The sequence below is a fragment of the Homo sapiens genome, chromosome 19, assembly GCF_000001405.40.
Source record: "Homo sapiens chromosome 19, GRCh38.p14 Primary Assembly".
In the NCBI taxonomy this organism is placed as follows: domain Eukaryota; kingdom Metazoa; phylum Chordata; class Mammalia; order Primates; family Hominidae; genus Homo; species Homo sapiens.
Window position 1 is genome coordinate 2,631,295 of NC_000019.10, and position 16,490 is coordinate 2,647,784.

A 16,490-nucleotide genomic window follows, 5' to 3' on the forward strand; every position below is an offset into this window, starting at 1 on the left:
ATGTCACCTCATGAAGCCACTTAACCTCGCTAGGTCTCAGCATCCTTATCTGTCCAGTGACGATCATTCTTTCCTCACGAGTGGTTATGAGATGAAATCAGATAACTCAAGGCCTCTAGGCTGAGGGTCAGCAAACCTTTTCTGCAAAAGGCCACTGAGCTCTGTCCTTGTAGTATGAAAGCAGTCACTGATGACAGGTAAATGAATGTCTGTGGCCGTGTGCCAATAAAACTTTATTCATAAAAACAGGAAGTGGAACAGAGAACTTGGCCCAGGGACCTGCAGTATGTCTGTGGCTGTGTGCCAATAAAACTTTATTTATACAAACAGGGAGTGGAGGGGGGAACTTGGCCCAGGGAGCTGCAGTTTGTCTGTGGCTGTGTGCCAATAAAACTTCATTTATAAAAACAGGAAGTGGAGGGCCAGACTGGGCCTGGGGTGGGGGCACAGCATGTCTGTGGCTGTATGCCAATAAAACTTTATTTATAAAAACAGGAACTAGATGGGGGACTTGGCCTGGGGGCCACAGTTTTCGACCCCGGCTTTAGCAGTTTTTTCCTTCTTTTGCTAACTTCTAAAATGAAGCCGACTGACCCTAGAAGTGCCATTTCTGAAAGAGGAAGAGAGAAAAGGGGTGAAAGGACGTTGAACCAGCCAAGGCAGACTACAGCATTTTCAGGGCGTCTCCCCAAGATCTCCAATAAGGACAACTAGCATCGACTAGGCTAATCCCGTGACGGCCTGTTCTGCGGGGACATCATCACCCTGGTGCTGCCCTCTCCCCCATTCTCTAGAGAAAGGAGCCCCAAAAGAACAGATAAACTCTGCCTCCTAGAAAGGTAAGACTCCTGGCCTGGCGCTGTGTGGGATCATGCCTGTAATCCCAGCACTTTGGGAGGCAGAGGCAGGTGGATCACTTGAGGTCAGGAGTTCGAGACCAGCCTGACCAACATGGTGAAACCCGTCTCTACTAAAAATACAAAAATTAGCCAGGCGTGGTGTCAGGCACCTGTAATCCCAGCTACTTGGGAGGCTGAGGCAGGAGAATTGCTTGAACCCGGGAGGTGGAGGTTGCAGTGAGCCGAGATTATGCTATTGCATTCTAGCCTGGGAGACAAGAGTGAAACTCCATCTCAAAAAAAAAAAAAACAAAAAAACCCAACCTGCTATAAACAAAACTCACACACACACACACACACACACACACACACACACACGCACACAGAAAACAGACTGGGAATTGTAAAAACAGCTGACGAACAGAGACTTTCTACTCTACAGGGAAGTCTCTCACCGTCAGCACTGTGGACATCGGGACTGGATCCATCTCTGGGGTGAGGCTGCCCTGGCACTGCAGGGTGCTGAGCAGAGTCCCTGGCCTCCACCCACTCCCTGCCAGGAGCACCCCTTAGTTACACTGAGCTATGATCGCACCACTGCACTCGCACCTGGGCAACAGAGTGAGACTCTGACTCTAAAATAATAATAATAACAAGAATATAAGAATAATAATTCAGATCCATGTCCGATAAAAATAATAAATAAGTAAAGCTGAGGCTCTAACATGAAGTCATTACGAGGCTCATCCAGCCACAGTGGGCTCTGCACTGGGGCACCCGCCTGGGCCTCTGCCTGGCCCATGTCTGCTCAGGAGCCCTCAGCCCCTTGAACCCTGCTGGTGGGACAGGGGGCCCCTCTACCAGGCCCCTAACTTCTCAACAGACCCCACCTTGGGCCTCCCCAGGCTGCACCTTAACCATCTATGACACGCATCCCCAGGCGGCACCGGGAGTGTCTGCGCAGAGATCCGAGGGTGTTAGCCTGGCAGGGGCCCTGCAGGTGGGTGCTGGTTCACTAAAACGATGAAGCGGATGGGAGGAAAATTAGCATCCAACGGGCCTCATCATTGCTGTCCTGGGCAATGGACTCTGACCCCTGCTGTAGAGGGTCAGAGAGGGTCAAGGTCAAGCCACAGATTGGCAGAGCCATCCTCTCTGGCCTCCACTCGGCTCCCCCATGTCCCCTGCCCCCAGCATCTCATCATATGCGACTGTCACCGCCGTGTGTATTTTGAGTCAAAGGCGGCCAAGGCTCGATGAATCTGCCGATGACCAAGTTGGTGCCTCATCCCTCGTTCTGTGGGAGGCTGACTGTTCAAGCGGTTGCTTAGCAACAGGCGCGCGCGCGCGCGCGCACACACACACACACACACACACACACACACACACACGAGAGGTGGCTGTGGTCTGCACACTGGGCTGGGGTACTCAGATCCCCGGGCTCGGTGGTCGTGGATGTGAGCCTCTCTGGGTATGGAGCCTCAATCAGTAGAGTCAGGTGGTCGCAATAACAGCTCTGAAACGGGGATTCATTGAGAGGACATCGGTGGGCTTGAAAACGGGTGTCTGTTTACCGGGGCTTGAGTGGGAGCTGTAGTAATTCTGTCCAGAAGAGGACAGAAGCCTGCTCTCAACTCACCCGGGAGGCAGGTTCTTCTGCACCGGGCCTTCTCCCCCCGGCACTGTGGGCATTTGGGGCTGAATCATTCTTGGTTGTGGGGCTGCCCCGGGCACTGCAGGGTGCTGAGTGGCACCCCTGACCTCCACCCCATGGCATCCACCAATCGAGGCAGCCACAAATGTCTCCTGGGTGCAAAATTGCCCCGAGTTGAGACCCCCTGGGATAGGGGATTCCACGGACCCCCAAGAGACTCCGCGTCCCATGATCCTCTGCCCTGCTGAGGTCCCCGGAGGCTGCACACATTGAAATCCACACCCTGAGTGAGGAGGGAGAGAGGAGGTGAGTCCCAGGAGCTGGGGGTCCTCCTGGTTTACACCGTCTGCCCCACTGGGCGTTTATGGTGCCTATCATGAGCAGGAAAATAACTCGAATTTTTTTCCCCAAAATAATGAACCCAGAGTTTCTCCCCCTCAGCACTGTGGACATTTGAGGCCCGATTGTTCTCTGGGGTGGGGCCGTCCTGGGCACTGCGGGGTGCTGAGCAGTATCCCTGGCCTCCACCCACTCCATGCCAGGAGCTCCCCCAAGTCGCGAAAACCACAGATGTCCCAGAAATTGCTCAGTGTCCCCGGGGTTGGGGGTGGGGGGCGGCATCACCCAGATGACCCCTGCTATAGAGGGTCAAGGTCATGTCCAAGCTCTCCTACCGCCGGGAAGCACTGCCTTGTCCTGGGCTACAGATGTGGAGGCTGCTGGGTACAGGGAGAGGTTTCTGAGTCCTGGAGACTGTGGCAGAGCCCCTGATTTCGGCACAGCGCCCCGTAATTACTTGCGGGCTGCACACACGTTTTCTCTCGGGGAGGGTGGTAGCAATGAGCTGTGACCTTCCGGGAGCAGAGCGTTTTCAGGCTCTGGCTGTATATCTTGGCAATTCTTTCAGGGGAACAACTTGTCCGCGAAAAGAACTGATAATAACGTGAATTTCAACACGACCAGGACATGCTGAAATCTGGTGACCGACCAGGGGGAAATAAACCCGCTCTGACTGGCCGCGGGGACTGGAGTTTGCTTACCACACAAGAGCCCTTCTCAGGATAAGAGGCTCCAGTAAAGCTCTCAGCAGAAATGTTACCAAAAAAAAAAAACCCTCGCCGGGAGAACAAGGAGCTACCAGAAAAACACACTCGGTGATCTGGAGGTCGCAAAGTTCTTCCGCACTCAGTGAGGCAAGAAGCAAAAAGGCTGAAGAAATGCTTATCCTGGAAGAGGGGTTCTCACCCGGGTTCTGTGGACATCGGAGCCGGATTGTTCTCTGGGGTGGGGTCGTCCTGGGCACTGCAGGCTGCTGAGCAGCGTCCCGGGCCTCCACCCACTCCATGCCAGGGGCACCCCCCAGTCGTGTAACCACAAATATCCCCAGACATTGCCCCAGATGAGTGAGGACAGAGGTGCAGGTGGGTGCAGGTGGGCACAGGTGGGTGCAGGTGCCCCGTGAACCCATCTCCATCTGCACCCTCTGCATCTCCAACCCCACCCCCAGCCCCAGTGTCTCCTAAGGGGTAGAAAGTCTTCAGTGCTGAATGTGAGAGACCCTGCCTTAATTTGAGGGAAAAAAAAGTAATCAAGTCTGTCCCCTGCTCACATCAGACACCACGACAAACTCCCAATGGAGCAGACGGTGTAAGACAGGGGGACCCCAGCTCCTGGGATTTGCCTCTTCTCTCCCTCCTCACTCGGAGTGTGGATTTCAGTGTGTGCAGCCTCCTGGAACCTCAGAGGTCCATATGATCATGGGACACACCTGAGACCCAGGAGGTCTCAACTTGGGGTGATTTTTTTTTTTTTTGAGACGGAGTCTCGCTGTATTGCCCAGGCTGTAGTGCAATGGTGCAATCTCGGCTCACTGCAACCTCTGCCTCCCAGGTTCAATTGATTCTCCTGCCTCAGCCTACGGAGTAGCTGGGATTGCAGGCGCCCGCCACCACACCCAGCTAATTTTTGTATTTTTAGTACAGAGGAGTTTTCACCATGTTGGCCAGGATGGTCTCGAACTCCTGACCTCAAGTGATCCGCCCACCTCAGCCTCCCAAAGTGCTGGGATTACAGGTGTGAGCCACCGTGCCTGGCCAACTTGGGGTGATTCTGTCCCCTAAGGGACACTGAGTGATATTTGGGGACATTTGTGGTTGTCACAACTGGCGGGTGCACCTGGCATGGAGTGGGTGGAGGCCCGGGACGCTGCTCAGCAGCCTGCAGTGCCCAGGACAGCCCCACCCCAGAGAAAAATGTGGCCCCAATGTCTACAGGAGCCAGGGGGAGAGAGACCCTGTGTTATTTGGAAAAAAACAGAGTCTGCTCTCTGCTCACACCGGACACCAGAATAAACTCCCAAAGGGGCAGACAGCATAAATCAGGGTAACTCCAGCTCCTGGGATTCACCTCCTCTCTCCCTCCCACTCAGGGGGTGGATGGAATTCTCCTCTGGCCAAACTGAACCAGCTCTCTACTGCCTTCACTCAGGGGCGCACGAGTCTCTAACTCACAGGCGAGGATCCAGGCCCTCTGCCCGCCAGGACAATGACCCCTCTCTGAGCTGGGGAGTGGCAGCCCCAGGTCCACAGCCAGTTCTCACCCTGAGGAGCATGACATCTGGGAGGGGGGATGACAGGCACCCCAGGGCCTGATGGTGGGGACAAGCCAGGGTCTGATTCCCATGGCAGGATGACCTGCACTCTCCCAGGGCCACCCAGCCCTCCAGGGATGCTTTATGCCTTCCATTCTCTGGTCCGAGCTCTGCTCTGGAGACACCTCTGTGCCCGAGTGTGAGGTGCATTCCCTGACTGCCTTAAGGCCACTCCTGGGGAGCAGAGCCAGTGCCTCCCGCCTCCTGCCACGCACAACACCCAGGGACCGCCTCTGGTTTTGGGCAGAGAGGCTCTGAGTGTGCCCACAGGGGCCCCTAGGGCAGGGGCCAACCATCTGGGTTTGCCTGGGACTTAGGGCTGTCAGTGTTGAACCAGGAAGGTATCAAGCAAACTGCAGTGGGGGTAGTGACAGAGCTTAAAGAGGGGCTCGGGGGTGACTGAAGACATCTGGGATACAGTCAGTATGCACTGCCTGCACCTCCATCCCCACCTGCACCCACCTGAACCCAACTACGCACACCTGCGCCCATCTGCACCTCCGTCCCCACTTGTGCCCACCTGCGCCCACCTGCACTTCCGTCCCCACCTGCACCTCTGTCCCCACCTGCACCTCCAACTCCACTTGTCCTCACCTGCACCCACCTGCACACCCACTGCACCCCCGTCCCTACCTGCACCCCCCGCATCTCCAGCCCCCTGCCGGCTCCAGGCCCGGGGCCAGGAAACTCCGTGGGCCTCCTCTGCCCCCTCGTGGCCGCCAGCGGTAACAGCAGCCCTCTGCAAATCGAGCTTCAGAGGCCCCAGGAACAGGCTCCCCCCGCCCCCGAGCCCGGCCCGTCTTTGCTGTTGTCGTTGTTGTTTTGCCCTGGGGCCTGCAGAAGGATAGGAGCAGGGGATCACGGTGCTGGTTTTGTCATCAGGACAGGCAGCCACGGCCCTCACTTGGCGGCGCACCTGCTCTCCTGGAGAGGCTGCCACCCAGAGGTCAGAGACCCCCGCAGGCGCCTGCACCCCTCACAGCCTCGCTCTCCTCCCCGTCCGTCCTTGTAGGGAGGTGAGTTTCCAAGCTTCCCACCCTGTGCCCGCAGGAGCCAAAGCCGCACTCGCCCAGCCCAGCGCCCAGCAAACAGGAGGTGCTCAATGAATGACTAGCAACATTATTAAAAGATCAGGAAAAGCCCGCATCCCACGCCACCCTTTGTAACAGAGAACCCCTTCAAGGTCAGCCGGCACCACACCTGCTCACCACTAATTCCGTCCCCTCTACTGGGGCCTCCCCTTGCGTGTGTGGACATCAGAGCCTGATGATTCTCTGGGGTGGGGCCGTCCTGGGCACCATAGGGTGCTGAGCAGCGTCCCTGGCCTCCATCCACTCCATGCCAGGAGCATCCCTCCATCATGACAATTACAGATGTCCCCTGGAGGCAGAATCACCCCTGGTTGAGACCCCCCGGGTTAGGGGATTCCACGGACCCCCAAGAGACTCCGCGTCCCATGATCCTCTGCCATGCTGAGGTCCCAGGAGGCTGCACACATTGAAATCCACACCCTGAGTTGGGAGGGAGAGAGGAGATGAATCCCAGGAGCTGGGGGTCCCCCTGATTTACACCATCTGCCCCATCGGGAGTTTATTCTGGTGTCCAGTGTGAGCAGGGACTGAAGTCAGTTTTGAAATAATGAATGGGCCGGGTGCGGTGGCTCACGCCTGTCACCCCAGCACTTTGGGAGGCCGAGGCAGGTGGATCACGAGGTCAGGAGTTCAAGACCAGCCTGGCTAACATGGTGAAACCCTGTCTCTACTAAATATACAAAAGTTAGCCGGGCGTGGTGGCATGCACCTGTAATCCCAGCTACTCGGGAGGCCGAGGCAGAGAATTACTTGAGCCTGGGAGGCAGAGGTTGCAGTGAGCTGAGATCATGCCACTGCACTCCAGCCTGGGTGACAGAGCGAGACTCTGTCAGAAAGAGAAAAGAAAAGAAAAGGGGAAGAGAAGGGGATGGGAAGGGAAAGGGGGAGGGGAAGGGGAAGGAGGGGAAGGGGAGGGGGAGGGGAGGGGGAGGGAAAGGGGAGGGGAAGGGGAGGGGAAGGGGAGGGGAGGGGAATGGAAGGGGAGGGGAGGGGAAGGGAAGAGGGAGGGGAGGAGAAGGGAAGGGGGAGGGGAGGGGAAGGGAAGGGAGAAAGAAAGAGTCTCTCCCTCCTGGGCACTGTAGACATTGGGGCTGGATGATTCTCTTGGATGGGGCCATGTTGAGCAGTGTCCCTGACCTCCAACCACTCATGCCAGGAGCACCCCCCAGTCGTGACAACCAGAGACATCCCTAGACATCTCCCAGCATCCCCTGGGGAGGGGAGGGGAGGGGAGGGTTGGGTCAGAATCACCCCTGCTTCCTCCGTGAGCCCCACTAGCATAGTTAAATTTCAAGTAGTTCAGAATTTAAGTGTAAAACATGCAATCGGAACAAAATACAGGTGATTTTTTTATAATCTTAAAATTTGGAAGAGATCCATAAAAAAAACAAAGGAGATGCTCATGTATAACAAACATTTAAAATCCTGGCCAGGTGCGGTGGCTCACACCTGTATCCCAGCATTTTGGGAGGCTGAGGCAGAAGGATCACTTGAGGTCAGGGGTTCGACACCAGCCTGGCCAACATGGTGAAACCCCATCTCTACTAAAAATACAAAAATTAGCTGGGCATGGTGGCGAACACCTGCAATCCCAGCTTGGGAGGCTGAGGCGGGAGAATCGCTTGAACCCGGAAGGAGGAGGTGGCAGTGAACCAAGATCGCGCCACTGCACTCCAGCCTGGACAACAGAGTGAGACTCTGTCAAAAAAAAAAAAAATTCCTCTTTGGCAAAACCCACCGTAAGCAAAGTCAAAAGACACGCTCAGGAAAATATTTGCAGAGTTCAAACAAACGTTTATAAACTGTTCAAACAAATCAATGCGCCTGAGACGCCGGAACAGAAAGGTCAGCAAAGACCCCAGCCTGGCAGCCCACAGAAGGATGCCCAGAGAACGGTCGGATTCACCGGCCACCAAGGACACCCAAACAAAACAAAGATGAGCGCCCCTACTTGCCAGCTTGGCAAAGATTTCACAGCTGCGGCTGGGAGGGTGGGGAACGAGCGCTCCAGGAAGGAATGGGGTGTTTCTGGAGGTTTTTGTGGCTGGATGTCAAATGTAGATGGCAGGCACAGAGCTCAGCAGCACATCCACTCGCAGGAATTTAACTTAAACCTCAACCATCCAAGGGGAGGGATTCAGGAAGGAAGGAGAGAGGGAGGGAGGCAGGGAGTGGGGGAGGAGGGGGGGAAGGGAGGGAAGGGAGAGAAGGAGGGAGGGAGGGGGAGGAAGGAGGGGGGAAGGGGGAAGAAGGGAGGGAAGGAGAGGGTAAGGGAGGGAAGGAGAGGGTAAGGGAGGGAGGGAGGGAAGGAGGGAGGGAAGGAAGGAAGGGGAGGGAGAAAGGAAGGAAGGAGGGAGGGAGAGAGGGAAGGAGGGAGGGAGAAAGGAAGGAGGGAGTGAAGGAAGAAAGGAAGGAGGGAGAGAGGAAGGAGGGAAGGAAGGAGGGGGGAGGGAGGGAAGGAAGAAAGAAGAGAGGGAGGGAAGGAGGGAGGGGGAGGGAGGAAGGGAGGGAAGGAAGAAAGGAAGGAAGGAGGGAGGGAGAGAGGGAAGGAGGGAGGGAGGAAGGAAGGAGGGAGGGAAGGAGGGAGGGAGGGGAGGAGGGAGGGAGGAGGGAGGGAAGGAAGCGGCAGAGGGAGGGAGATAGAGATAGGAAGGAAGGAGAGAGAAGGGGGAGAGGGAGGAAGGCGAGAGAAAGAGAGAGGGAGAAGGAAAGAAAGAGAGAGGAAGGAAGGAGAGAGAGAGGAAGAGAGAAAGAAAGACATCAAGAAAAAGAGAGACATTCCAAAAGCCCAGCTAGGGGGACCAGTTAAACACATTATAAAATCATTTTTAAAGTGATAAGTCACCACCCCCTATCACACAGAGTGCCTTAACGAGCGTCAAGAATGAGGGTGGATGTCGAGGTTTCTCGACAAGGAAAGATGCCCAGTGATGGGAATGAGGAATGAGAGAATAGAACCCTCCTTGTGTGAAATCTACAGGTGAATGTAATTCACGAAAATCCCAGCACAGGCTTGGCAAGATGCTGAGGCCCATCGGTGCTGGGCTGGGGAACTTAGGGGCTTGGCCTTCTTTGTACTTTTCTTCATTTTACCTTTTTAGCTGTTGCTTTTTTTGGAGACAGGGTCTTGCCCTGTTGCCCAGGCTGGAGTGCAGTGGTGTGATCTCGGCTCACTGCACCACTCGATCTCCTAGGCTCAAGTGATCCTCCTGCCTCAGCCTCCAGTGTAGCTGGGACCACAGGTACACACTGTAACACCCAGCTAATTGTTTAATTTTTTTGTAGAGATGGGGTCTTGCTATGTTGCCCAGGCTAGTCTCACACTCCTGGGCTCAAGCCATCCTCCCGCCTTGGCCTCCCAAAGTGCTGCGATGACAGGCGTGAGCCACCACACCCAGGCTCTCACCAAGTTCTGACGTCAATCAGGGATCAAAGGGCTTCAGGCCAAACTGCCATCCCTAAAATGACCTGCTTGAGAAACTTAAGTCTATGAAATGAAGGGGAGGCACTCCAGAAACTGGCAGATGGTCCCCAGAGGTGGTACAAGAAGAAGGGACTCGGGTCCCGCAGCTGACCCTCAGTGGCTCTTAGCCTCGAGAACTCAGCCCTGCGATGGCCAGAGTTGCGCCCGGCAGATCCCCACGGGGAGCCTCTTCCTCTCTCCTTGAGGTCACAGGCAGGTGAGTGACCAGGCAAGGGAGGAAGTCGGCTCTGCTCACCCCTCCAGCCCATTCCCCATGTCAGCAGAAGGAACAGCAGGCTCCCAGCGACAGCCCCATCCTAACCCCAGAAGCCGTGGACAGGTCAGCTCCATGTCAAAAGGGACCGCAGATGGGATGAAGTTAAGGATCGTGAGATAGGATAGCATCCGGGGTGATCTGGGGGCCCCAATGTCCTCATAGCGTCCTCAGGAGAAGAGGCAGGAGGGTGAGAGTCAAACAGAGACTGGAAGAGGCTTCACTGTGGCTGTGAAGGGGGAGGAGGGGGCCCCGAGCCAAGGGATGTGGGTGCCTCTAGACGCTGGGAAATGCGGGAACCAGATTTTCCCCTGGAGCCCCAAGGAGGGACTGGCCTGCCCACACCTTGATTTTCCATGATTTTAGCCCAGTGAGGCCTATGTTAGACTTCTTTTTTTTTTATTTTTTCTTTTTTTGAGATGGAGTCTCACTCTGTCGCCCAGGCTGGAGTGCAGTGGCGTGATCTTGGCTCTGCAACCTCCGCCTCCCGGGCTCAAGCGATTTTCCTGCCTCAGCCTCCTGAGTGGCTGGGACTACAGATGCACACCACCACACCTGGCTGGTTTTTTTTGTATTTTTAGTAGAGATGGGGTTTCACCATGTTAGCCAGGATGGTCTCAAACTCCTGACCTCAGGTGATCCGCCCACCTCGACCTCCCAAAGTGCTGGGATTACAGGAGTGAGCCACCGCGCCTGGCCCTACGTTAGACTTCTGAGCTTCAGCGCTGTCAGATAATAACTGTGTGGGAGAAGCCGTTCTACATCAGTAGTCACTTGTTACGTCTGGGGCAGGAGGTGCCTACATCCACCAGTGCCCAAAGAGGATCTAGCAGCTCCGATCCAGGCCCTCGGGGCTTAGTGGGCAGCCCCACCAGCCCACAGCCTGCCTGCCAGGGAGCTGTTCTCACAGACCCCCACCATGGGACACGTGTTTCTGGGACAGGTCATGGAGAACGATGACCCCATCACGGGCAGTCTTTCCAAAAGGGCCCACGGGAGATCAGAAATCGCAATGTTTCTTGCTGAGAATTGCCGTATCCTAGCTTGCAAACACTATTAGCTCCGCAGCTGCTAGCGTTTCCCTGTCGAAATGAATGGGGTTATTTGTTTCTGTTTTTTAGACAGGGTCTGGCTCTGTTGCCCAGGTTGGAGTGCAGTGGTGCAATCATAGCCCACTGCAGCCTCGACCTCCGGGGCTCAAGCGATCCTCCCACCTCAGCCTCTTCAGTAGCTGGGATTTCAGGTGTGCACCACCACGCCTGGCTAATTTCTGTATTTTTTGTAGAGATGGGGTTTCACCATGTTGCCTGGGCTGGTCTCAAACTCTCAGGCTCAAACGATCCTCCCCACTTCAGCCCCCCACTAGCAGGGACTACAGGTGCGTGCCACCATACCTGTCTAATTTTCTGTAGAGTTTAGGATATCGCTCTGTTGACCAGGCTGATCTCAAACTCCTGGGCTCAAGCCATCCTCCTGCCTTGGCCTCTCAAAGTGCTGGGATTACAGGCGTGAGCCATGGCGCCCGGCCAGAACTGAATGTTTGAAGAAGCCCAACACCAAACCTGTGGCAGCCCCAGGAAGCACCGGGAATGCATAGTCTGAGCCCTCTCCGGGCTCTGCACACCTTCCCGCCCTGCACCATGTGCACCGGAAATGCAGGAGACCTCTCCGGGCTCTGCACACCTTCTGGCCCTGCCGTCGGCACCCGAAATGCAAAGTCTGCGCCCTCTCCGGGCTCTACACACCTTCCCGCCCTGCACCATGTGCACCAGAAATGCAAAGTCTGAGCCCTCTCCGGGCTCTGCACACCTTTCCGCCTTGCGCCATTGGCACCGGAAATGCTAAGTCTGAGCCCTCTCCGGGCTCTGCACACCTTCCCACCCTGCACCATGTGCACCAGAAATGCAAAGTCGGAGACCTCTCCGGGCTCTGCACACCTTCCGGCCTTGCACTGTCCGCACTGGAAATGCAAAGTCTGAGCCTCTCCGGGCTCTGCACACCTTCCCGCCCTGCACCATGTGCACCGGAAATGCAAAGTCCGAGACCTCCCCGGACTCTGCACACCTTCCGGCCCGGCTCCGTCGGCACCGGAAATGCAAAGTCTGAGCCTCTCCGGGCTCTGCACACCTTCCGGCCCTGCACCATGTCCACTGGAAATGCAAAGTCCGAGACCTCTCCGGACTCTGCACACCTTCCGGCCCGGCTCCGTCGGCACCGGAAATGCAAAGTCTGAGCCTCTCCGGGCTCTGCACACCTTCCGGCCCTGCACCATGTCCACTGGAAATGCAAAGTCCGAGACCTCTCCGGACTCTGCACACCTTCCGGCCCGGCTCCGTCGGCACCGGAAATGCAAAGTCCGAGACCTCTCCGGGCTCTGCACACCTTCCAGCCCTGCGCCTCCTTTTTCGGGCTGAGCTTTTCTGTTGGTGTCACAGCTTCACTGGGGTGCAGTTACACACCCTGCGATGCACACTGGGCACGCTAATCTTCAAGCGCACATGGTTCTAAGGGTTGCCATTCATTTCTACAGCTATGCAACCATCAGCATAATCTCAATGGGACGCTGTCATCGACTCCCAGAGCTGCCCCGATCCCAACCCCCCAGCCTCCAGGCGACCTCTGATCTGTCACCTTTTCTAGAATTTTCCTGTAAGTGGAATTGTACAATATGAAGTCCTTTACATTTTTATGTTTGGCTTCATAAATAAATATTATACATATATTTTATATCTACACTTTTTGCATCTACACTTTATTTTATTTTATTATTTCTGAGATGGAGTCTCGCTCTGTCGCCCAGGCTGGAGTGCAGTGGCGCAATCTCAGCTCACTGCAACCTCCGTCTCCCGCGTTCAAGCAATCCTCCCACCTCAGCCCCCCAAGTAGCTGGGATTACAGGTGCCTAACACCACACCTGGCTAATTTTTGTATTTTTAGTAGAAACGGGGTTTCGCCATGTTGGCCAGGCTAGTCTCAAACTCCTGACCTCAGGTGATCCACCTGCCTTGGCCTCCCAAAGTGCTGGGATTACAGGTGTGAGCCACTGCACCCGGCCTACACTTTATATATATATATATATATATATATATATATATATATATATATATATATATATAATGCTCTATCTATACATGCATCATGTTATTGAGATGTAATTCATATGACATACAGTGCACCCATTTAAAATGCATAATTCTTTCTGAGTATTATCTGCGGCACCAAAAAGAAGAAAAAAATCATAAAATAAAAAGAAAACGCACAATTCAATGGCATTTAGTACATTCAGAGTCCTGCAACCATCACCACTAATTCCAGAACATTCTAATTATGCCAAGAAGAAGAAACCCATCAACCATCACTTCCCATGCCCCTCCCAGTCTCGGCACCCACGCATCCCCTCCCTGCCTCTGTGGATCGGCCCGTCCTGAACCTTTTGTAGAAAGGGGATCACATGCTGTGTGGCCTTTTGTGTCTGGCATCTCTTACTGAGCGTGACGTCCTCAAGGTACATCCACACTGTGGCCTGTGTCAAAGCTTCATTCCTTTTCATGGCTGAGTAACACTCCATGGTGTGGATGGAGGATGTTCTGCTGATCCATTCACCCATTGATGGACATTTGGAGTCTTTGCCTTATTGCTAAATTTGAACATATTCTTGACTTTTGAGTACATCTGTTTCTGAATTACCTCTCATGACCATTGACTACTAAGGATGAGACCAAAATGATTTATACTGGGCTTAGCTAAAATATGCATTTTTAAGGTACACATTACATGCCATAAAATTCAAGTGAAGTGTACTGCTCAAAGATACTTCAGGGCCGGGTGCAATGGTACGCACCTGTAATCCTGGCACTTTGGGAAGTCAAAGCAGGAAGATCACTTGAGCCACGGAGTTCAAGACCAGCCTGGGCAACAAAGCAAACCCTAACTCTTTTCTGTTTTTCTTTCTTTCTTTCTTTTCTCTCTCTCTCTCTCTTTTTTTTTTTTTTAGAAGGAGTTTCGCTCTGTCACCCAGGCTGGAGCGCAGTGGCATGATCTTGGCTCACTGCAACCACCATCTCCCAGGCTCAAGTGATTCTCGCACCTCAGCCTCCCGAGTAGCTTGGACTCTAGGCACCTGCCACCACGCCTGGCTGATTTTCCTATTTTTAGTAGAGATGGGGTTTCACCATGTTGGTCAGGCTGGTCTGGAACTCCTGACCTCAGGTGATCCACCCATCTCGGCCTCCCAAAGTGCTGGGATTACAGGCATGAGCCACCATGCCTGGCCAAAACCCTAACTCTTAAAAAAAAATTTTGTTTTAAGATTTTTAAGTAAGTTCACCAGGTTGCGGTCACCCCGACCCGACCATCGGGTCCATTTCCACGTCCCTGGCAAGTCTCTGGTGCACATTCATGTCCCCAGCCTCCAATCACCACGAGTCCCTTTCTGTCCCTATGGCTTTGCCTTTTCTGGACATTTCTGCCTTCCTTTCTACTTATTTTTAAATGGTTTCCTCTTCCTACATTTTAAAAGCCACTCATGATTCTCTAGGGAGAAAAACGAGGAGTAAATCAACAGAGGAGAGCTAAAGGGCCAGCGACGGGTCACTCTCCAGGTGCACAGGAGATACGGGTGAAGGCTCCTTAAAACTCCCTACCATGGCACGAAGACACCGGAAAGGCATGCAGCACCGCTGTGGGCTTCCCACCCTGACCCCATCCAGGGGCTCCGGCACCAGCAGGACCAGTGAGTGCCACGTTCCCTGCCTCGTGGGCGGGAAACTCTGCCAGGAGCTAGCAGCTGTTACCCACACCTGCTCCCCATTACCCATACTTGGTGGATACAAACAGCCGACAGACCCAGGTCAAGGCCAAGACGCCCGCCTTGACGGCAACCCCACGTCTTACATCCAGGGTGCAAAACAGCCAACTGAACCTCAAATCATAACAAAGAAATGCATTACAGCACCGACCTGTGCAGGAGGTCTCGCCGTCTGCAGCACCGAGATCCCGAAACCAAGCTCCACTCCCTGGAAAAAACACATAGAGTTAGTTTGGCGTGGCTTGGCTGGAGGCACCATGCATGTGTTGATGGGGTCAGCATTGGAGAACGGCCTCGCGCTTGTGATTGGACAAGGACAGAAATCATTTTGGCAACCAGGCGCGGTGGCTTAGGCCTGTAATCCCAGCACTTTGGGAGGCCAAGGCAGGTGGATCATGAGGTCAGAAGTTCGAGACCAGCCTGGCCAACATGGCAAAATCCCGTCTCTACTAAAAATATAAAAATTAGCCAACGTGGTGGTGGGTGCCTGTAGTCCCAGCTACTTAGGAGGCTGAGGCAGGAGAATCCCTTGAACCCGGGAGGCAGAGGGTGCAGTGAGCTGAGATCGAGCCACTGTCCTCCAGCCTGGGCAACAGGGCAAGACTCTGCTTCAAAAAAAAAAATAATAGAAAAGGAAAAAAGCAGAAGACAATTCACTGAAAATATTTATTATTAGAGATTTATGACGTTATTCCTAATACATTTTCCACGTGTTTGAAAACTGAACTGAGTGCAAGGATTGATGTTTCTACGGCTCTTCACAGTTTATCAAAAACATCTCTGTACATCTTTGGAGCCTCACGATCTCCCTGGGAGGAAGAAGAAGGGGCTGAGTTAGTCCCACGGTGCCCAGAAGGCACCCAACGTATCCAGGTCTGCCCAGGACTTTTCCAGAGTTAGCCTGAAAGTCCTGCATCCTGGGAAGTCCCTCAGCCCCAGCTCAGCTGGTACGGGCAGTCTCTGAGCAGAACCAGGCTGGCACCACATGCCTGAGGCTGCGACCAGGAACTCCCCACCTCGGGGGACTCGGGGGGACCCTGCCACCATCACTGACAGGACAAGCTCCAGGGCCAAAGCTGTTCCTGCAAACACCGTGGTTTATATGAAATCCTTGCCTCCCTCTGGAGCCTGGAATCCTGGCATGGGTCAGGCAGCAGGGGCAGCAGAACCAGCCCCCATAGGAACGTGGGTGCTGGGTCTCTGGGAGCCTCGCTGGTGACAGTGCTTTGGGCTGTTGTCCCAGCTCGCTGCTGGGGATGTGGCGTGTCCCGCGTGACACATGGGGAGAGGGCCTGGAAGCTGGGCCTAGAAGCCGGGCCTGGCCTCCCCGACCCACCCCACGAGCCTTTCCCTTCCCAAACTCTGCTCTGTGCTCCATGTCCTCTTGCTGGGACAAACCACAGTCACAAGGAGGCCTCATGCGGAGTCCAGGGTCCTCCCAGCGAGTCGCCCCATCTCTACAAAATGACCCCATCTTGACAAAAAAAATTTAAAAATTAGGAGGGTGTAGTGGTGCCCGCCTGTGACCCCAGCTACTCGAGAGGCTGAGATGGGAGGATCGCTTGATCCTGGGAGATCAAGGTTGCTGTGAGCTAGGATTGCACCACTGCACTCCAGCCTAGGCAACAGAGTGCAATCCTGTCTGAGAAAAAATAAAAATAAATGCCACATGGGGCCAGGCACGGTGGCTCACACCTGTAATCCCATCACTT

General features: G+C 54.5%; 1 protein-coding gene across 2 annotated transcripts in view, besides 2 other annotated features; it reads right to left on the reverse strand.

Annotated features, from left to right (window-relative positions):
* GNG7 (G protein subunit gamma 7) overlaps nucleotides 1–16,490 on the reverse strand; it is a 191,476-nt gene that overhangs the window by 120,076 nt on the left and 54,910 nt on the right. For both annotated transcript variants that reach the window (NM_052847.3, XM_047438629.1), the window contains one exon: nucleotides 14,930–14,986. The gene's annotated coding sequence lies outside the window, so the exon portion shown is untranslated. The remainder of the gene's footprint in view (nucleotides 1–14,929; nucleotides 14,987–16,490) is intronic.
* Nucleotides 2,589–2,728: an enhancer, noted in NCBI's record as "active region_13711". NCBI's record gives its function as "activates an Ori minimal core promoter by ATAC-STARR-seq in GM12878 lymphoblastoid cells {active_cell/tissue: GM12878}" and the evidence as "EXISTENCE:reporter gene assay evidence [ECO:0000049][PMID:35858748]".
* Nucleotides 12,143–12,642: an enhancer, noted in NCBI's record as "H3K4me1 hESC enhancer chr19:2643435-2643934 (GRCh37/hg19 assembly coordinates)". NCBI's record gives its function as "activates a minimal SCP1, AML or CMV promoter by ChIP-STARR-seq in naive H9 embryonic stem cells {active_cell/tissue: H9 hESC(naive)}" and the evidence as "EXISTENCE:reporter gene assay evidence [ECO:0000049][PMID:30033119]".